The sequence below is a fragment of the Homo sapiens genome, chromosome 20, assembly GCF_000001405.40.
Source record: "Homo sapiens chromosome 20, GRCh38.p14 Primary Assembly".
Taxonomy (NCBI): Eukaryota; Metazoa; Chordata; class Mammalia; order Primates; family Hominidae; genus Homo; species Homo sapiens.
In genome coordinates this window covers 45,004,363-45,027,243 of record NC_000020.11, presented here as the reverse complement: position 1 = coordinate 45,027,243, position 22,881 = coordinate 45,004,363, and the positions used below count along the sequence as shown (strand labels likewise).

General features: G+C 37.2%; 1 protein-coding gene across 8 annotated transcripts in view; it reads right to left on the bottom strand.

Moving 5' to 3' along the window:
- STK4 (serine/threonine kinase 4) overlaps nt 1-22,881 on the bottom strand; it is a 113,510-nt gene that overhangs the window by 52,778 nt on the left and 37,851 nt on the right. For 7 of the 8 annotated variants that reach the window (XM_017028031.3, XM_011529018.4, XM_047440425.1 and 4 more), the window contains one exon: nt 2,114-2,271. In XM_017028031.3, coding sequence (XP_016883520.1) covers nt 2,114-2,271 — 158 coding nt within the window. Of the gene's footprint in view, nt 1-2,113; nt 2,272-9,570; nt 9,632-22,881 lie in introns of those variants that run through there. The other variant, XM_017028033.2, reaches the window with a different exon arrangement.

The following is a 22,881-nucleotide window of genomic DNA, read 5'->3' as shown; positions in this document are numbered from 1 at the left end:
TTGGTCAGGCTAGCCTCGAACTCCTGACCTAAGGTGATTGACCGGCCTTGGCCTCCCAAAGTGCTGGGATTACAGGCGTGAGCCACTGCGCCTAGCCAAAATCGCTAACTTCTAAAACATTTAAAAACAAGGAAACTAAGCTTAGAAGTACTACAGATTTGAGGATTCTCAAGCATTCTATCACAATAATGATGTGATTTGGTACCCAGTAGTTAAACATCTTTGCCTGAAGACTGGCTAAACTGAGAAATCAGTCCTTATACACATGTTGAAGACAACTATACAGGCAACATGGAACAGACGCACAATAATTCAAATTTCGTAAGTCTACTATGATTAGCAGTGGCAGCCTGGTGTGCTGTGTTAAGAAGGATTCTGAAGCTGAACCCTGATTCAGTGGAACAGATGGGTGCCAAAGGCCTAGAAGAGGAGAATAGTAGCAGATGTGCCCCATAATTTGCCACCTTTGAATAGTAAATAAAAACACTGCACCTGTGTTCAGAAACGCTACAGTTCTCCTATAATGTATTAATACAGCAACTAGAATAATACCTTTTAAATATAAATAAGGTCAAGTCATCCCTTCCAATGGTCTTTCATTCCACTCAAGAGTAAAAGCTAAAGTCCTTTTTATTACACAAAAAGCCCTGCATTATCTCGCTCTCCATTATATCTCTGATATCATTTCCTGCTGCACATCCTATTGATGCCATTCCAAAACAGACTGTTTCTTCGTTGTTCTGTAAACATACCAGCCAAGTCCCTGCCTCAGGATCTTTGCATCTGCTATTCCTGCTGCCTAAAAATCTCTCCTCTAGATATTCACATAGTTCACATCCTCATCTTCTTACCAGTGAGAACTTCCTTGACTACTCTTATTTTTAAAAAACTATGCACACACACACACACACACACACACACACACTCTTTCTGTCTCCTAACCTCCCTTTTGCTTTATATTTTTTACAATAGTTGCTACCATTTAACACACTAAATACTTATTTTCCTTCGCCTAGAATGAAACCTCCATGAGGGATGGGTTTTTGGCTGTTCTGTTAATGACCACATCCCTAGAATAGTGTCAAACACATGACATCCAAAAAAAAAAAAAAAAACCACTGGATAAGTAAGTAAATGAACAAACAGGTAATAAAACAAATAGCCTGGGTTCTATCATGGGTTCAGTGACTAATCAGTTAATTTACCTCAGATGAGTTATTCTGGTCCTCAAAGGATCTCTACCATTAGTTGTATAAACTGTGATATTCCTGCCATTTTATAAAAGTAGAAATTAAGTTATGGAAGAATGGCGTCATTTCCTCTAGGCCAGTCAGTAGTATAGTGGAAAGCCAGAACTAGACAGGCCTACCAGAATTCAAGCCCAATGCCCAATCTAAGTTCTTTTATAAACAACAGAATTATGACAGATGGAGGATCAAACTTCAGAATTTTAGAATGTAAAAATAAAAAGCTCCTGAAGAGAAAAATCTTTTCTAGTAATAGTCAAGAAGAAAATGCAGACTCCTTAGCTTACTTTTTCCCAAAATTTTTATTGCTCTACTCCTTAAATGCCTATGAACATTAATAAGTGTCTATGGTTGAGGGAAAATGTTCCACAGTAGAGAAAGGAAAACACATCCAGTTTTTCATATGAAACTGGAATAATTATACATTCATCCTCTGAAAAAAACTGAGAATAATCCTTTCAGCAGGGTTAAAATTAGGAGAATAGTTAGCAAAACAACAAGGACACCACAAAACAGTGTCAATTGCCCTCCAATCTAATTCTTAAATATAAAATCAAAACCCCAAATAAACTATTAAAGACAGTTGCAATTTCATTTGATGATTGAATACTTCTCTCACCATGAACAATTTCTAACTGGACAAAAATAAAAACTGAATATGGACTTCGAAAGCGAAAAAGATGCCACTAATCAGGGACCAGAGAACTGCCCAAACATCAGTCAAAATACTGTCCTTCAGCTCAGTAGACACTGTCAGGGATGGTTTAGGAGACTCAAAATGCACAAGAAAATGCTTGGGCACTAATGTGTGATATTTCAAATAACTTCCCCTGAAGACATAACCATTTACTTCCAACACTACTTACAAACTCGTAGTCTCCATCCTGTGGTATTTTCCAATCTGAAGAATTTTTCAGTGGACCAGGTACACTCTTGCCAAAGCTGTTGATCTGGTTTTCCTTTTCTTTTTGTTCAAAATATTCAAGAAAGGATGGTTTCGCAGGCTGCATGGTCTCATCCCTTCCTGAAAACAAAGAAAAATGAAAAATGAAAAGAAACATTCTAAATTTTAGGTAAGTTTAATAAATAGACATATCTCCAGATGGGCTACAATCTCTGGATCAGTGGATATTTCTGTTAGATAAAGGACTCCTTCAAGAATCTAGTGAAACTACAAAAAATGCACAAATCCTTGCCCAAAAAATTCTCATGGAATTCCAGAGGAGTTAAGATTTCCCCTAAAATACATTCAGAAATTTCCCTGGGGTCCCTCTTTCTAAATGGAAAGATTTGGGTGATGCAATGATTCTGATAATCTGCAAATAATACATTTGGAGTCTCCCATAGCAAACAGCTCCTATAATATTTAGAATGAGACAGAAGCAAGCAAAAATATTTAGCATCTATCACATACAATATTCTCTATAGGCATTTAAGTAGGAAGAGGGGATGATACAGTAGGGTGACTTTCTTTGATAATCTCATAATCTAACTGGAATAATGAGAAAAACATACATGAAAAAGAAAACATAAATAAATCACAATTCATCCACTCTATGAAATATTAGGTAACTTTAAAAATACTATCTACATATGGCTTACAATAAACTTACAGGAAAAAATAGGATACAGTATTATATATACAGTATGATTTTGACTCTATAAAATCATACATATAGGAAAAAAAAAAAACTAGGGGAAAATACCCAAAATGTTAACAGGGTTTATCTCTGGTAGTAGGACTATTGGTGATTTTATTTACTTCTCATGAACATTTTTTTAAATAAGTTAGTACTGGGTCAGGCGCGGTGGCTCACGCCTGTAATCCCAGCACTTTGGGAGGCTGAGGTGGGCAGATCACAAGGCCAGGAGATCGAGACCATCCTGGCTAATACGATGAAACCCCATCTCTATTAAAAATACAAAAAATTAGCCGGGCGTGGTGGCGGGCGCCTGTAGTCCCAACTACTCGGGAGGCTGAGGCAGGAGAATGGCGTGAACCCGGGAGGCAGAGCTTGCAGTTAGCTGAGATCGCGCCACTGCACTCCAGCCTGGGTGACAGAGCGAGACTCTGTCTCAAAAAAAAAAAAAAAAAAAAAAAGAAGTTAGTATTGAACAGGTATAAAATAAATAGAATTGATTAAAAGAATTATATGTGCCCAGTTCTTGCATGCTGTGTGGTCAGGGAAGACTGGTAAAAGGGGACTTAGATGGGGCCTCAAACCATCCTGGAGAAAAGCATCAGCAGTTACATAGTAGCAGTAACCGTTAAGAGAGCAGAATACAGCAGCTATTAGTTATTAGTAACAAGAGCAGAAAGAATAATTTTACCTGGCATGATTTAAAAATCAAACTAGCTGAATGTACCTGTTTCAAAGGTTGAAGTATCTTTGTGCCTCTGATTAGTATTCTAATACAGGGAAATACAGGAAGTATTTTTCATTGCTTTCCATGAACATAGGGGTTTATACGGCCCTTTCCTACAGTAATCAGGAAAAACAACCAGAAGGCTCAGCACCTTAAGAAGTAGATGAGAAGGTATCTAGAAGATAAAGAACAGCAAGTGTTTCTCTCCAGGCACCCTTGGTCTATGCAATCTTACTTATTTCATGACACTTCCTAGTCCAGTTTCAGGCCAGCCACCCTACCTCTCAGAACATTTGTCATTTTTCTCACTATCACCATTGCTAAGTTCAACAGCAGCCAATCCCGTATCTGCCCATATCCACAGACTGCCAATGGTTTCCTACTACACTGTTTTCTCCTCACTAATTAAGAATTAAATACATTATTTGCTAGGACCAATCAGCAAGTATATGGTGTTTTGTTTTGTGTGCTCTAGGTATGATGTTAGAGCCATGATCATGCAACTGCACTCCAGCCTGGGAGACAGAGTGAGACACGGTCCCAAGAAATAAAAAGGAAAAATCAGTCTTTGACCACTTTATTGTGGTAACAAAAAAGAGCAACTCCTTTGTAGGAAATACAAACAAAAGAGGGTATCTTCTTTCTTAGGAAATACACACTTAAAATTTGAGAGTAAGCTGCATATATCACGCACCAACCTCTCTTGTCTCATTATTTCTGTCATTCACGTCTGTTTATCCATCCATCCATTCATTTTTATATATGCACAGATAAATGACTAAATTGAGTTCATCAATAAAAATGGCGACTTCTGGACAGAAATAACAGGTAATTTAAAACTTTTTCTCCAATGGAATTTACAAAAACCATAAGGGCGTCATTCTTTTTTAAAATGTATTATATCCAACAATAAAACAATATATTTCTATGGTTCTTCATTAATTACTTTCAGTTGCAATACAGGTGGACTTAAGAAATTGAATCTTTAAACCAAGGATGATGAAACACTAAAGATAACATTTCTGTGGTCTAATTCTAAACCATGTCATAAAAATCAAAGAAATGTCTGTTAAGTGAGAATATAATTATTTGTCTATTTCTGTCACTGTTCAGATGAAAAAGTGAGAACATCTGCTTGCCTCATATTTGAGTTCTTCTTTCTTACCAACCCACTTAAAAATTTCTAATTTTTGGAGTTAAAACACCAACTGTTCTTTGTCTCTTTCAACAATGAAAATCCACAAATAAGAAAGTCTATCTAAAATGTATTTGCTTTTACCTTCTGATATCAATACCAGGGACCTGATTATACCTGACATTTATTAGAATTCGAAGTTCCAAAAACTAAAGTGAAATAAAAAGAGAATTTTTTTTATCTAACCACATATTCAGATATAAGCTGTAAGTAAAATGCACATATGTATTAGAAATTTAATTATAGCAAAATGATTAGTTAAAATGTTACATTTATCAGATTGCCAAAAAGCTAAAGTTGATTTTGGAGACAGAAGAACGGAAAAATTCCTCTCCTCAAATTTTATGTTATGTATATTTTACCACAATAAAAAAAAATGGAAAGTAATCCCTATCCTGCAGTTCAAAGATTTAGATTCTGGTTCTGACTACACGATCTTGGTAAAACCACAGGTTCCCAATCTGCAAAAAGAAGACACAGGGCCAGATTATATCTAATGTTCCCTGCAGCTTTGAAAAATTCCGTGATTTTATGACTTGGCAGTAGCATATGAAAACATATTTATGCTCAGTTATTAATAACTATTCAAAAGAAGAAGTTCTTATCTCTAGTAGGATTATGATACTGGATGCCTCTCATCTAAAACATGCTACAACTAGATGTGTACAGGCATAAAGCAAAGACCAAAGTGAAAAATAGTTAAGACTCAAGAAATATTTTAGTGACAAGAGTATCTCTGATTCTTTGGATTTTTTGTTGTTGGTGGTTTAACAGATGGAAGAGGTAACTCAAACTGTAATAAAGATATCGTCTAGAGATGCAGATGAAATATTTTATGGAACTAAAGTGAAAAACTGAATGAACTGACTGATAGGGGAAGCCACCTTAACTGGCAAGAAACAGCAGACATTCAAAAACAATTAGCTGATCCTTGTATTTAGTGATTCCAGAAAATAAATGCCTCCACCATAATGATTCTTTCTTCATGTGTGAGAGTGCTTTACTGACATGTTAAGTTTATATGAAGAAGACAGCAGTATTCCTATTGTGAATAACACTGTCATTACATTGCAGCACCTGTACTAAGTCTGATTTTATAGACTGATAATAATTCTCAGTAAACAGATTTGCATTCCTATCACAATTAGTATCTAAGATAAATTGTTTTTAAAAATGGCCACAACAATTTCCTCTTGGTATCTTCATCCTTACCTTACTCCCTCTCACAATGACTCTGGGCCTGGCTATCTAACCTGCTTTGGGCATTGAGACAATAGCAAATGTACAGCAAGAAGAGACTTAAAAATTCTTGTGTAGGCTGGGCATGGTGGCTCATGCTTGTAATCCCACCACTTTGGAGGCCAAGGTGGGTAGACTGCTTGAGCCCAGGAGTTCGAGACCAGCCTGGGCAACATAGCAAGACCTGGTCTCTACAAATAATAATTTTTTAAAAAAATTAGCTGGGTGTGGTGGCACGCACCTGTGGTCTCAAATATTTGGGAGGCTGAGGCAGGAGGATCACCTGAGCCCAGGAGGTCAAGGCTGCAGTGAGCTATGATCGCACAACTGTACTCCAGCCTGGGTAACAGAGCAAGACCCTGTCTCAAAAAAAAAAAAAGTCTTGTATATTTTACTATAATATAAATAAACCTGATTGAGCCTGCTAGATGGTGAAATACTACGTGGAGAGGCCCAAGTCAACAAATGTCTCAACAAATAAATCAGCCATCCCCAGCTGTTATTGCACCAGCTGACCACAGAGCAGAGCTAACCAGCTCAGACCAGAATTGCCTGCCTACCTGAGTCCAACCTAACTGCCAACTTACAGAATCATGAATCAAGTTAAATAAAATGGCTATTTTAAACCACTAAATTTTAGGGTGGTTTACAATGCAGCAAAAGCTAACTGACACAGTTTCAGTATCTCTATCTCACATAAACATAAACATAAACATAAACATAAACATACACACACACACACACACACACACACACGCATAAACATACACCCCTAAATCTGGAAAAAAGAGTTCTATTCTTTGGAAACTTAGGTTCAAATTTAACTAACATTCACTAAATACCTTCTACATTTCAGGCTTTCTACTAGGTGCTTTCACATAATGGTCTCATCCAAACTGCACATCCAAACTGCATGACCACCATATAAAGTAGAGGGGGAAAAGCCTTACACTTAATAGGCATCTATCAAGTGCCAGAAAATGTACTATATCACTTAATCCTCAAAGAGTCTTTTGAGATATATGTTATTTATTATGCCCCTTTTACAAGTGAGAAATTTGCAGATTTCTAAGCTAGTAACCAACAAGGATGGGACTTGAATGCCAAATGTCAGGTTTTAAGTTTAGTGATCTACATCTCATATTGTACAGTCTCTAAAATCAAAATAAAGATTCTTGACATGTTAGAACTGCCATTAAACTAAGTGCAGAAAGAGTGGGGAAATGTAATTTTCCCAGTAACCTTATCTTTGAACTTTTCTTTCAGCACCCGTTAGCTAGATAGATGATCAAGTGTGCTGGACAGCAGCTTGTCAGGTTGAAAAGTGTAAGAGAATCATTCCAAGCTGATTAAAGGCCATGCTGTCCCCCAGGGCTTCAGCTAGCTTGTGGGTTTTTTGTTTTAACTTGAGCTAGCATATTTTTTCAGATGTATCCCAAGAAATAAAGATGTTCAGCTGAATGATAATACAAGAAACCTAAAGCCGTAGAAAGAATGGACTGAAGAGAGAAATCAAGCCTTGAAAATACCACATCTTGCTCTGATTCTTTTATCTGATGCCGGAAATGCATGAATTCCTATGCTAAGACTGGCCTATTTTTCTTTGTAAGCAGCATTTGTCAAGCTAAATGAACAATCTGTCTAAGCCTACAGACAAAGCAGTGAATTCATAAGCAACTGTATCTTCCATTTATTTTTCTTTGAAAAATGCTACGTAAAAGCAGAAGGAATCAACAACCCAAATGTCTATCAGCTGATGAACAGATAAACAAAATGCAGTGTATCCATACAGTGGAATATTATTCAGCAACAAAAAGAAATAGTGATACATGCTATAACATGGATAAACCTCAAAAACATTATGCAAAATGAAAGACGCCATTCTCAAAAGGCCACATGTTATATGATTCCATTTACATAAACTGTCCAAAACAGGCAAATCTATAGAGACAGAAAGTAGATTAATGGTTGCCTGGGGGTGAGAGGCAAATGAGAAGTGACTGCTAACAGGATTAGAGTTTTTTGAGGGGATGATAAAAATGTCTTGAATTCAATAGTGCTTAAAGTTGCAACACCTTGTTAATATCCTAAAAAAACACTGAATTCTATGCTTTAAAATGGCAAATTTTATGACATATAAATTATATCTCAATTTAAAAATAGTGGCCAGGCATGGTGGCTCATGCCTGTAATTCCAGCACTTCAGGTGGCCAAGGCAGGAGGATGGCTTGAGGCCACGAGTTCGAGACTAGCCTGAGCAACATAGTGAGACCCTGTCTCTACAAAAATTTTTTTTTTAAATTAGCTGGGCATAGTGGTGCACACCTGTAGTCCCAACTATTCAGGAGGCTAAGGCAGAAGGATCACTTGAGCCCAGTTCAAGACTGCAGTAAGCTATGCTCATGCCACTGCACTTCAGCCTGGGCAACAGACCAAGATCCTGTCTCCAAATTAAAAAAAAAAAAAAAAAGTAGAACTTTAAAAATTAGATAGAATTTTAAAAATTAGATTGTGGTGATGGTTGCACAACTCTGTGAATAAACTAAAAACCATTAAACTGTACACTTTAAATGAACAAATTGTATGGTGTGTAAATTATATGTCAGTAACTCAATTTTTTTTAAGCAGCAAGACACCTTTCCTTAACTATTTGCTCTTATTTCTGGATTCATATGAACTACAACATAATGTCTAGGTAGTCATAACTGGGAAGGACCTTGACCAAAGACTGAAGCCCACTGTTCCATTGGAATGACCATCTACTAGACCTTAAACTTCATGACCTTCAATTTCAAACCTTCATTTTCCAGACTGTCACTAAGTAAACCAATATGGTCAACCTACTGTTTCCTTAATTCCTACAATGACTCTTTTCTACTTAAATTGTAATTAATTCTGTGCAAACCAGAGAACTGGGCAGAGCCTGATTTTTTTTCTCTGTTTCATGCATGAATGTTTGCAGGAAAAACAACAACAACAACAACAACAACAACTCTGGTAATCCTGCAAATGTTTTCCTCTGGCTTGGAATAGTATGCCTTAATGTGCAATTCTTATCACAGGGTTTGTTTTTTTCTAACATTTGTTATGAGTGTGTGGTTTTGGGTTTTGTTTTTGTTACCAGGCACCTAAGTGCTTTACATGTATCAGCTCATTTAATTACACTGGTTACTATCCAAGTAGCTGTGTACAGCCATAAATATTCCTTTGAATGTCCTTTGAAACCACTAAGAATTGCTGGAATCATAAGTTATAAGGTTCCCTGGAGCCCAGAATAACTCTTCCAGTTAAGCAGTTTCAGTAACTGCCTCTATATGAATGGACTTAATTTCTGGGCAATGGTGCTCTAGCTGTTTTAATTCTGGTGAACTGAAATATATAAATTCAAAGAGAGCTAAATCCAAAATTCAAAGGATTACTAACTAGAGCAATAGTGGCAGCACATCTAAAAAGATAAAAAATGTTCACAGGTGAGAATGGTCCACATCTTGGTTCTTGCAAGAATTTCCTAATTGGTCTCACCTTTTACAGTCTTTTGAAACTCCATTTTATCACTTTCCTAGTCAAAGTGTCTTCAGATACCCTATTAACAAGAGAATCAGGTTCAAACTCCTTACTTTCAAATTCAAAGTCTTCCAAAATCCAGTCAACACCCACATCTGCTTCGGCCAACCTGAATAATGAAAACACATTTCTACCTTTCTGACTTTGCACCTGCCTGTAACATCCTTCCCCAGCCTTCCTGCATATCTGAGTCATTGCCTTCCTTTTCACAAATCCTTTAACGCTTTCCTGTACCACTTACCTAGCATTTGTCTTAGTATATTATTACCTTCATATGTAGAAGTCCTTTCTCCTACGTCGCATCATTATCAAATACTATTATTTGAAGCGCCTAGAGTAATGCTCTATACACATAAGGAATTAGAACAATTAGAACAGTACACATGCCATAAGTATTAGATAATGATAATGACAAATGTCATCTTCCCCTTTTAATATATAAGTTACTGAAAGCAGTGAATGCCTCATTTGGTTTTCATACTCTACATGTTAATGACACATAGTGACTATTTAATAAATGCTTCTTGGTTGGTATTAAATATTCATTATAAACAAATACTGATTCCAAATTGATATTTATAGAGCATAAACATTTGAAAAGAATCATCTGCTTTTTCTTTATAGATCCACTTAAATTGATATTTAAAAATGTATCTCCATTTTCTTGCTGAACAAAAGAAGGTCAGAACAGCAAGCTTAGAGCAACAGAGAAATAATATATTCCACTAACTGATGAAGAAAGATTTATCTGCCTCTTAGGCTTAAGGACCAAAGTATATTGTTTGTGATTCACTTTCCTATGTTCTTCATTACCATTATGCTACTGCCCTCTCTTGAAAAATGTATTTCCCTCATGGCTGTTCTTGGCTCTCCTTTTACCAATATAACTATACTGGAGTAGCTATCTTTCAAAATATATAGGCCTTGAGCCCTTCACTCAAGTTATACTGAGATCTGGTACTTTCATATCCTAAAATGTGGTCTGGCAGGGTGTTCTGAATGAATTTTCAGGCATCAGGAGTTCTGTGCTTTTTGGCTCATTCCAAAAGAATCAAGAATGCTAATGGTTTCCAAAGATAAAAGGGGGCCCAACATCTGGATACAATAAGAAAAACTGCACAAACAATTAGGATTTAGTCTCCACTCTGGCAGGACAACCTTGAATTATTTTTGAAACTGTGAGAAAAACCTAAGTACCAAGATGTCTGCTCTTCTATTGTAAATCTCACCCACGAGGGAGCTACTGATAAAATGCACAGTGAACCACAGTGGTTATCTTTCGGGGGTGGAAAAAAAATCCAGTCGGTAATAAATTCCACTGTATTAAGATAAGAGGCTGAAACTTTACAAAAGAAGGCTCATGTGTATCTAAAGTCTGGCCCTCTTAAAAATCCGTCACCTTGTATTCTGGGCTATTTAATAGATTCTCAAAACATGTATCATCTTATTGCCAAGGAATTTAAAACACAGACACACACAGACACAAACCACACAGAGCCTCCCTCTCTCTTCTCGGCACAATGGTAAAATGTTACTGAAACTGACAAGTGACCTTCCCTTAGCTCAACCATGTTCATGCCAGCACTCAGGCATTCCTGGGGTGGCACCTACAAAACATCATCAATACCAAGAGCAAAAACTAAAAGTTAGTAAAAAGTTAGTATCAAGAGAAAAGGAATTAGGAAGAAGAAAAGTAGCACTGTTGAAGAAATGTTTACGTCCAATGAAAAAAACACTCTCATACATTAAAAGACTTACTATAATACCTACCATTTTTGAGCATTTACACATTAAATATTTTACACATACAATCTCATATCATCTTGACAAAACTACAAAATAGGAACTTTGGTGCCCCATTTTTTCAGACAAGGAAACTGAGGATCAAAAAAGAAAGAACCTGACCAAGGTGACGTAGTCTGTAAGACCCTGAGCAAAGTTTCAAGCCAAAGACTGATGCTAAAAATCAATGTTCACTCCACTACTCCTTTGTCCTTCTCTTGCCCTTACTCAGAGATAGGGTTCCAACAAAATCAAATGTTTTCAGCTTTAGTTTTGGGGTGCATAACTGGACTAATGCTGTCTGAAACTCTCATGTGATGCTGACTGTGAGTGGCAAGCATACACCAACACAATACTCTGATGATAGATGTTTAAATCCTGAAGGGATCAGAAATTGGACAGTAAGGCTACCGTGGTAAAAGAAGTGTTAAAATACTTGCAGTACTTTATGTCCTAATTACTGTACTTGCAAATGCCATAATCTGAGTCAGTGAGAATAAGACAGATAACACACAAGGGAGACAATGTTCTAACAACCCCTTTCAAACTGCAGATGGAAAGAAAATAGGCTCTGAGTCAAGAATTCCTATCTTATGCAGCTCTGAAATCAGTATCTGATGGACGGTGTTGAAGTAAAATCATTTTGACAACAGCCTAGCCTTTCACCTGATTTCAACATGAGGAAACTCACAGCAACAATAGGTGCCTTCATGAAACTTAGGACTTTCTGAGGAACTATAAACACATAATGTTTTTACCACAAAATACTATCTCAGTAATTTAACTAAAACATGTCTCTTAGTTGCCCTAACTTAATTATGTCATTATGCTTTAAAATTCTGTTTCAAAGAGATTAATGTGGCTGTTGCTCTGGGAGAAAAATTAGAATCTTATGCACTAAGTACAAGTTTTAAAGAGGAATCATCATCTCACTCCCTTCAATTCACTGAATCTAATTTGAAGGCTTGGTCAGGGGAAACATTCTTTCAATTAGTAGTCCAAGTTCTGCCTCCCATTGACCTATTAAGCCTGGAGATGAGGAGGGGTGACCAGGGCTATGCATCTCTTGGGAATGTGGTAAGGACAAGAAAACCATGACATTATCGCCAATGAATCCTGAGAGGAAGAACCGCCGCATGTCAAATCTTTAGTGGATGAGTACATGTTACTGCAAGTGGCCATCCTTTGGCTTGTCATTTCCTCATGAGGGGCAAAAGCATTTAACTGCTAAACTACAAGTCTGTGCAAATCAAGCTACTTCAGTTGCTCCAAAATGTTTTTGTTATCTTTGCCACTAAAAAAAAAATATTTTTTTGCTTTCAAATATATACTTTTTAAATATTTAATAATGTTGTGAAAGCTTGGATTCTTTCTACATCAAGTATAAAATTAATCCTTTCCATTTTATTTTATTTTATTTTATTTTGAGACAGTCTTGCTCTGTCACCCAGGCTGGAGTGTAGTGGTACGATCTTGGCCCACTGCAATCTCCGCCTCCCGGTTTCAAGAGATTCTCCTTCCCCAGCTTCCTTAGTAGCTGGGATTACAGGCACGCCCCACTACACCCAGCTGATTTTTTGTATTTTTAGTAGAGATGGGGTTTCGCCATGCTGGTCAGGCTGGTCTCGAACTCCTGACCTCAAGTGATCCACCCACCTCGGCCTCCCAAAGTGCTGAGATTACAGGCATGAGCCACCACATCCTGGACCGTTTTCATTTTAGCTCTAAATATTAACACCCTATTTCATAATGATCAAATAAAACAGAAGAAATTCTTCTGCTTTAAAAAAATGGTTGCTTGAAAACGGATAATGGTGAAACTATTCTTCTGCATATTAAGATAAAAGAAAGAGAAAATATATAATTTAATATAAAAGAGAAAATATGCAAAAAATTCCATCATTTTCACAGTACTACCAATTGTATTCAGTGCCACCAGTATATTATTTTGGATGACATATGTGAGTAATACCAAAATTAACAAAACCCACAACCACACAGTGACAATTTTAACAATTTAACAATTTTAACAAATCTCCAGAAGCTAAAAGATCAAGTATCAAAAATTGGTAAAGATAGACAAATGAAAGACAATTAGCAACTGATTGCTAATTACAGATTCCTGCACCAAACAATTAGAAAATACATTATTTTTAAGACACACAAAGCACATTTAATGAAAATTAATAACATGTTAGGCCACAATGTCTCAAAAAATAACAAAGAATTGATATAACAGACCACACTCTTCAACCACAATTCTATAAATTAAAAATTTTAAATAAGCAGTTTTTAAAAATCATACATTTGCTATTAAAAAACACTTCCGAATAACTCATGGGTTAAAAAATAAATGTGTATAGCACAAGCACTACACACTGGAAAAAAATATTTACAATATACCACATATGAAAATGTATGGAATACAGCTAAAACAGAACTAAGAGAAAAAGTTACAATGTTGATTAAATGTATTAGTAAGCAAGAAAATTAAAAAGCTAACTATTCAAATTAAAAAAAGACAAAACAACATTAATTAAAGAATTTTTTTTAAATAAAACCTCTTAAACTAAAAATAAACCAAAACTTATTTAGCCTGTTAAGGGGTATCGACCAAATTCTGCTGCAAAATCAGACTCCATGGTAAAAAATCCCAAGAATTTTCTTTAAAGTGAGCAACAAGACAAGAATGTCCACTACCAGCTCTACTATGCAACACTGTATTGGAGGTCTTAATAAGAAAAAAACCTTGGCCAGGCTTGGTGGTTCACACTTGTAATCCCAGTACTTTGGGAGGTTGAGGAAGGAGGATTACCTGCACCCAGGAGTTCCAGACCAGCCTGGGCAACACAGGGAGATCCCATCTCTATAAAAAAAAAAAAAAAAAAAAAAAAAAAAAAATCACAGGTGTGGTGGCACATGCCTGTGGTCCCAGCTACTCAGGTGGCTGAGGCAGGAGGATTGCTTGGCCCCAGGAATTCAAGGCTGCAGTGAGCTAGGATCGCGCCACTGCATTCCAGAGTGAGACAGTGCCTCAAAAAAAAAAAAAAGAAGAAGAAGAAGAAGAAGATTATATATAAAGATCAAAAGGAAAAACTATAATCATAATTCATAGACAATAAGACTGTCTCCATTTTTTTAAAAAGGCAATCTCCATAAAACCTGTTACAATGAATAAAACAGTCCATAAATATCTACAGTAGTTGTCTATAGAAGAAAAATGTTAGAAACAAAAGTTTTTTAAACTATGCCATTTGTAATAGCAACAAATAAGTATCTAAAAATAGATTTAACAAAAAGCTCTAAAACATCTTTGTTGGTACAATTATAAAATTATCTAAGAATATAAAAGATAGACCAAACAGATTGAAAGATAAACCATGTTCATGCATAGAAAGAATTAACACAGAGATGGCAATTCTGCCTAATTAATCTGTGTATCCAATGCAATTAAGTCAAAATTCCAGTAGTATTTTATAAAATTTGATATACTGATCCTAAAATTTATATGGGAGAGGCCGGGTGCAGTGGCTCACGCCTGTAATCCCAGCACTTTGGGAGGCTGAGGTGGACGGATCACGAGGTCAGGAGATCGAGACCATCCTGGCCAAAACAGTGAAACCCTATCTCTACTAAAATACAAACCATTAGCCAGGTGTGGTGGTGCGTGCCTGTAGTCCCAGTTACTTGGGAAGTTGAGACAGGGGAATTGCTTGAACCCAGGAGGCAGAGGTTGCAGTGAGCTGAGATCGCGCCACTGCACTCTAGCCTGGTGACAGAGCAAGACTCCATCTCAAAAAAAAAAAAAAATTTGTATCGGAGAAGAGTGATATAAATTTCAAGAAGTAATCTGTGATGAAAAGAAAAATAAGGGGATGGGAAATCTATTGCAGACAAATAGTCAAAGAAGGACTGAGAAGGTGACAGGATCAAAGACCTGGATAGAGGGAGGAAGCAAGTCTTTCAGATGGAAAAATAAAACAGACTACTAGAGCTCATATTGTAAACAAAAACAAATTCCTGATCTATATCAGGAATATATATATTTTTACTGTTATTTACTGTAACATAAGCCTTAGTCCTGGCTCCCAACAACTTGACTTAAAAAAAAAAAAAAAAATATATATATATATATATATATGTATGTTCTACACAAGAACTTTCAAATCAGTTCTACACAAGAATTATTAGGTTTTTTAAAAAATTTATTCAGTTATTCAAGTAAGGCCATTTTAGCTGATTACAGTTTAAAAACTATATGCATGGTACCATGCTACAGAAAAAGAACACCAATTGTGTCAAGTCCACTGAGAAATCTGGGAAGGGAGAGAAAAAGTGACTATTTTGAGATGTTTTGGCTGACTTCTTATTTGAACTTTGCCAAGTATGAGGTATCCAATCTCCCAACTAAATAAAATAAAGACATTGCCCTAGTGTCACTGCGGTTACTTAAAATACACTTAAGAATGAATAAGTAATGGTCTTGTTCTAGCATAAAGGCTACTTTTATATAAAGGGGATTTGTGAACTCAAATGGGAACACGATTATAACCCATTAACTTAATACAGAGCTCCCTCTGCTGGCCCAGAGAATGCACAATGATCCTAACACTGACACAGACCCTCTCATGTCACTTCAATAATGTGTCCTGCTGTTTGGGGAGGTAAACAAGGCTATTCTAGAGCCCTTATTCAAAAACAAAAACAACAACAAAAACAAGAACATATCTAGACAAATAGAAGAAGCCTTCCAAAATCCCCAATCTAATATTTTATCCAGACAGAGGTTTTCCAAGTAACGTGGACCATGGTTTGCCTCTTTCGTTCTCACATGTATGCTTGAGGCCACTTAAAATCAATCAAATCCCACCTTAATCCCTTCTCTCCAACTGCAATCTGACTCCTTCCTATAGATTCAGATACATACATCCAAAACAAATTCCCTCAGAGGTAACAATATCATTAGCTTATCAGAGGCATGCTCCCTTTGAAAACCATCTGTCCTTTCTTTCTGGAAATACTGAGGACATATGTAGAGTAACTGGTTATCAAAATAACCAGCAAGGAGAAGTACATTACTACAAGCTGAGACTCACCAACACATGATCTGTAACATAAGCCTTAGTCCCAGCTCCCAACACTTGATAAAGGGGCTCTGCTAGAAGTAGTATAATCTAATGATTCAGAACATAACCACTGAAATCAAACATATCTGGGTTCAAATCTTGGCTTCTCTATTACTCATTATATAATCACAAGTATGTTACTTAATCTCTGCAACTGGGTTTCAACTGCTATTAAACAGGGAATGGTTCAATTTACCACACAGCATGGTTGTAATGATCAAAATATGTGAAATGCTTAAAGGATAAATCACAGTGTGTGGTATATATTAAGTGCCTAATCACTAATAATTATTATTAGCAGTTATAACATCTATCCTATTGAGTATAACACATAAGTTACATATAATAAATAATTGGGAGGCCGGGCGCGGTGGCTCACGACTGTAATCCCAGCACTTTGGGAGGCAGAGGCAGGCGGATCACAAGGTCAGGAGTTGGAGACCAGCCTGCCCAATATGGTGAAACCCCATCTCTACTAAAAACATAAAAATTAGCCAGGTGTGGTGGCATGCACCTGTAATCCCAATCTCAGGAGGCTGAGACAGGAGAATTGCTTGAACCCAGGAGGCAGGGGTCGCAATAAGCCGAGATCGCACCACTGCACTCCAGCCTGGGCAACAGAGCAAGACTCCGTTTCAGAAAAAAATAAATAAACAAATAAATAATTGGGAAGTCCTAGCCAGAACAACCAGGCAAAAGAAAGAAATAAAATGCACTCAAATAGGAAAAGAAGAAGTCAAACTATCTCTCTTTACTGACAATATGATTCTATACCTAGAAAATCCTAAAGACTCTGTCAAAAGGCTACTAGAATTGATAAGCACATTTAGTAAAGTTTCAGGATAAAAAAATGTACAAAAATCAGTAGCATTTCTATACACAAACAATGGCCAGGCTGAGAGTGAAATCAAGAACACAATCCTACTTACAACAGCCACAAAGAAAATGAAATATCTAAGAATACAGGTAACCAAGGAAGTGAAGGATCTCTAGGAGAACTACAAAACACTGCTGAAAGAAATCAGAGACAACACAAATAAATGGAAAAACATTGTATGCTCACGGATAGGAAGAATCAATATAATTAAAATGTATATACTCTCCGAAGCAATTTACAGATTCCATACTATTCCTATAAAATTGCCAATGACATTCTTCACGGAACTAGAAAAAACTATTCTAAAATTTATATGGAACCAAAAAGAGCCCAAATAGCCAAAGCAATCCTAAGCAAAAAGAACAAAGCCAGAGGCAGTGCACTACCTGACTTCAAACTATAAGACTATAGTAACCAGAATGCTGTTCTTGTACTGGTACAACAACAGACACATAGACCAATGGAACAGAATAGGAAACTCAGAAATAAACCTGCACACCTACAACCAGCTAATCTTCGACAAGGCCAACAAAAACAAGCAATGGGTAAAGGACACCCTATTTAATAAATGGTACTGGCATAACTGACTAGCCATATTAAGAAGATTGAAAGTGGATCCTTATCTTTCACCATATATAAAAATTAAGTGAAGATGGATTAAAGATTTAAATGTAAGACCTCAAACTATAAAAATCCAAAAAGAAAACCTAGGCGATACCCTTCACAACATTGGCCTTGGCAGAAAGTTTTTGGCCAAGTCCTCAAAAGGAATGGCAACAAAAGCAAAAATTGACAAGTGGGACCTAATTAAACTAAAGAGCTTCTGCACAACAGCAAAAGAAACTATCAACAGTGTAAACAACCTACAGAAAGGGAGAAAATATTCACAAACTATACATTCAACAAAGGTCTAATATCCAGAATCTATAAAAAAAAAATTTACACAAATCAACAAGCAAAAAACAATTCCATTAAAAAATGGGCAAAGGACATGAACAGACACTTCTCAAAAGAAGACATACAAGTGGCTAACAAATACATGAAAAAATGTTCAGCATCACTAATCATCAGAGAAATCCAAATCCAAACCACAATGAGATATCTCATACCAGTAAGAATGGCTATTACTAAAAAAAAGGTCAGAAAACAACAGATGCTGGTGAGGCTATGGAGAAAAGGGAATGGTTATATACTGTTGGTAGGAATGTAAGTTAGTTCAGCCACTGTAAAAAGCAGTTTGCTAATTTCTCAAAGAACTTAAAACACCAATCCCATTACTGGCTATATACCCAAAGGAAAATAAATCATTTTACCAAAAATGCACATGCATTCATACGATGAGTTGACCACCACACTATTCACAATAGCGAAGATATGGAATCAACCTAGGTGCCCATCAATAGTGGACTGGATAAAGAAAATATGATACATATACGCCATGGAATACTACGCAACCATCCGTGTAAGCAGCCATAAAAAAAGAATGCAATTAGGCCAGGCGCAGTGGCTAACGCCTGTAATCCCAGCACTTTGGGAGGCCATGGCGGGTGGATCATTTGAGGTCAGGAGTTCGAGACCAGCCTGGACGACATGGTGAAACCCTGTCTCTACTAAAAATACAAAAATTAGCCTGGTGTGGTGGTACATGCCTGTAATCCCAGCTACTCAGGAGGCTGAGGCAGGAGAATTGCTTGAACCTGGGAGGCAGAGGTTGCAGTGAGTCGAGGTCGTGCCAACGCACTCCAGCCTGGGCGACAGAGCAAGACTCCGTTAAAAAAATGCAATTATGTCCTTTGCAGCAACATGGATGGAGCTGGAGGCCATAATTCTAAGCAAACTAACACAAAAACAGAAAACCAAATACCGCATGTGTTCACTTAGTGGGAGCTAAACACTGAGCACACATGGATATAAACATGAGAATAACAGACATTGCAGACTACTAGAGGTGAGAGGGAGAAAGGGGACCATGGGTCGAAAAACTAGCTACTGGGTCCTATGCTCATTACCTGGGTATAATATATTTATGCATCAAACCTGCACATGTACCCCCTGTATGTAAAATAAAAGTTGAAATTTTTTAAATAAATAAATGAATAAACAATTGTTTCGAACAAACAAAAGCCATCCCTGGATTCTCAGTGAAAGACAGCACCAGAATCACCATAACTATGATGAGTTTTCTATTATGGATCTAACGCCTATGAATATAATAGGCAACCAAAACAAATCAGAAGCTCTGTGGAATGAAGAGAGCATAGACTCTGAAGTGCTTTCTTTTTTTTGTTTGTTTGTTTTTTGAGATGGAGTCTCGCTCTGTCACCCGGGCTGGAGTGCAGTGGCGCGATTTCGGCTCACTGCAACCTCCACCTCCTGGGTTCAAGCTATTCTCCTGCCTCAGCCTTCCGAGTAGCTGGGACTACAGGCGCCCGCCACCATGCCCAGCTAATTTTTGTATTCTTAAGATGGGGTTTCACCATATTGGCCAGGCTGGTCTCGATCTTCTGACCTTGTGATCTGCCCGCCATGGCCTCCCAAAGTGCTGGGATTACAGGCGTGAGCTACTGCGTCCAGCCAACTCTGAAGTGCTTTCAATTTCCAGCTCCACCACTTACTAGCCATGTGACCATGAACAAGCAACAATCTCAATCTCTCTGAACCTGTTCCTTTATAGAGAAAGTGGAGAAACATCATCTCTGTAGACAGTTAAGATAACGGAATGAGCTGAAGTGCTAAGGCCTCCCCTCCTGTTATAAACAAACAGAAACTCAAGACTTAAAAAACAAACAAACAAACAAACAAAAAACAACCCATAGCGCTCAGAACCAGAAAACGAAAACTTCCAGATGCCAAAAGCGGGAAAGAAACCCACAGCACTGAGCCGAGTGGCCTACTGGGAAAACCAAATCACAAGGACTTTAGCTTTAAGGCAGATGTGCAAATAGCAATCAGGATAAGGCAGAAGGCAAGACATACCTGTTAAAGGGGAAGCCAGAACTCAATTCCCAGCATAAAGATAGGAGCCAGGACAATACTGCCCAGAAGCTTAAGAAGATGGCTTAAAAATGGCTTCTGCTTCGGTAGGTAAGAGGTGGAAAAAATCAACTTCTAGAAATACAATTCCCTTGGCTGTACCACAAGTCCAATGTGGAACTGAGAAATAATCTAAAGACTGCTCTAGAAAGAAATACCCCATAGGGCCCTAGGGATGCCTGTACAACCCAAGGAATACAAAGGACCTCCGAGCAAGATAATTCTCACCAAACATAAGCTCAAAAACAAAATTTACAAAGTGTAAGAAGAAATGTAACAATATGAGAGATAACAAACACAATAAACAGAAAAATTAGACCCAAAAAACACAAAATAATAGCAGGATCTGAAAGTTTTTTTTTAAAGGGAAATTGAAATGTTCAAAGAGATAAACAGAAAAAAATCTGTAAGACAAGCCCGGAGCAGTCGTATGCACCTGTAGTCCCAGCTGCTTGGGAGACTGAGGTAGGAGGATGACGAGCCCAGGAGTTCAAGACCTGCCTGGACAACATAGCAAGACCACATTTCTGGGAATAAATAAATAAATAAATAAATAAATACATCCGAAACAAAATGAAACAAAAATAAAATAAAAAAGGAGAAAAAGAAATCCTAGAAAAAATAATAATAATAGAGAAACCAAAGAGAATTTTCTAAAACTGAATAAAGTCCTGGGTCCTTAGATTGAAAAGTACAGAGCCAGAAGAAGCAGAATTAGAAGGAAAAAAAAAATCCAACATAGAGACAATAAGTTAAAACAGAAAATATTCAGGAAAATGAAAAAAAGAGAAAAAAGTAAATCATCTAGAAAAGAACAATATTGACAACAGAATTTCCATCACCATCAACAGATACCAGAAAATATCAAAATGATCTCTTCAAAGTACAAAGAGAAAATAAGAGTCCACTTAGAAATCCATGCCTCAGTAAACTATATTCAAAAAAGAGAAAAAAATTAAGACTTTTATTAACCATACAAATTATAAAAGTTTGCTACCCATTACATCCTACTGAAAGGAGAAGAAAAATGAGCCCATAAGATAAAGTATAAGCTTAAAGAAGCAAAGGTAAGCAAACATATTAGTAGCTCACTATGTTCATAAATTGTATTGACTCTAAATAATGATTATAGTAGCTAACGTTTTGTTTTTTTTTTTTTTTTTTTTGAGACAGAGTCTCGCTCTGTTGCCCAGGCTGGAGTGCAGTGGCGCGATCTCGGTTCACTGCAACCTCCGCCTCCCAGGTTCACGCCACTCTCCTGCCTTAGCCTCCCGAGTAGCTAGGACTATAGGCGCCTGCCACCATGCCCGGCTAATATTTTGTATTTTGTTTAGTAGAGACGGGGTTTCACCATGTTAGCCAGGATGGTCTCGATCTCCTGACCTCGTGATCCGCCTGCCTCGGCCTCCCAAAGTGCTGGGATTACAGGCGTGAGCCACAGCGCCCAGCTGCTAATGTTTTTTAAAAACCTGGTGAACCAAAGCAATAGACAACAATAACAAAATATGAGAGAGGCAGTTTGAAAAAAAGGCGAAGTGTCTTAAATCCTTTTTCTTATTCAGGAAGAGGAGAGAGATACTGATTAACTTTGAAATTTATTAGGAAAGTAGAAATTTAAGTAAGCATATACTTATGCATACACTTTGCCAGTTGGTAGAAGAGAGTGGAGAGAGGGGATTAAGGTAAGGGAAAGGAAGTGATGGCGGTGAGGACTCAATCAATCCAACAGAAGGAAAGAAAGGAGGCTGGGCGCGGTGGCTCATGCCTGTAATCCCAGCACTTTGGGAGGCCAAGGCGGGCGGATTACGAGGTCAAGAGTTTGAGACCAGCCTGACCAACATAGTGAAACCCTGTCTCTACTAAAAATACAAAAAAAAATTGGCTGAGTGTAGTGGCATGCACCTGTAATCCCAGCTACTTGGGAGGCTGGGGCAGGAGAATCGCTTGAACCTGGGAGGCGGAGGTTGCAGTGAGCCAAGATCGCACCACTGCATTCCAGCCTGGGCAACAGGGCAAGACTCCGTCTCAAAAAAAAAAAAGAAAAAAGAAAAAAAAAAAGGAGAAAAAAAGGATTTCATGACAAAAATATCAAAAGCAATTGCAACAAAAGCAAAAATTGACAAACGGAATCTAATTAAACTAAAGAGTCTCTGCACAGCAAAAGAAACTATCATCAGAGTGAACAGACAACCTACAGAATGGGAGAAAACTTTTGCAATCTACCCGTCTGACAAAGGTCTAATATCCAGAATCTACAAGGAACTTACACAAATTTACAAGAAAAAAAAAACCATGAAAAATTAGGCAAAGGACATGAACAGGCATTTCTTAAAAGATTATTTTTTTTTTATTTTTATTTTTAAGGCTAGTCAAGTGAAACAGTGGGAGTGGAGAAAAACAAAGAAAAAATTGGTTGTGGCCGGGCGCAGTGGCTCATGACTTTTAATCCCA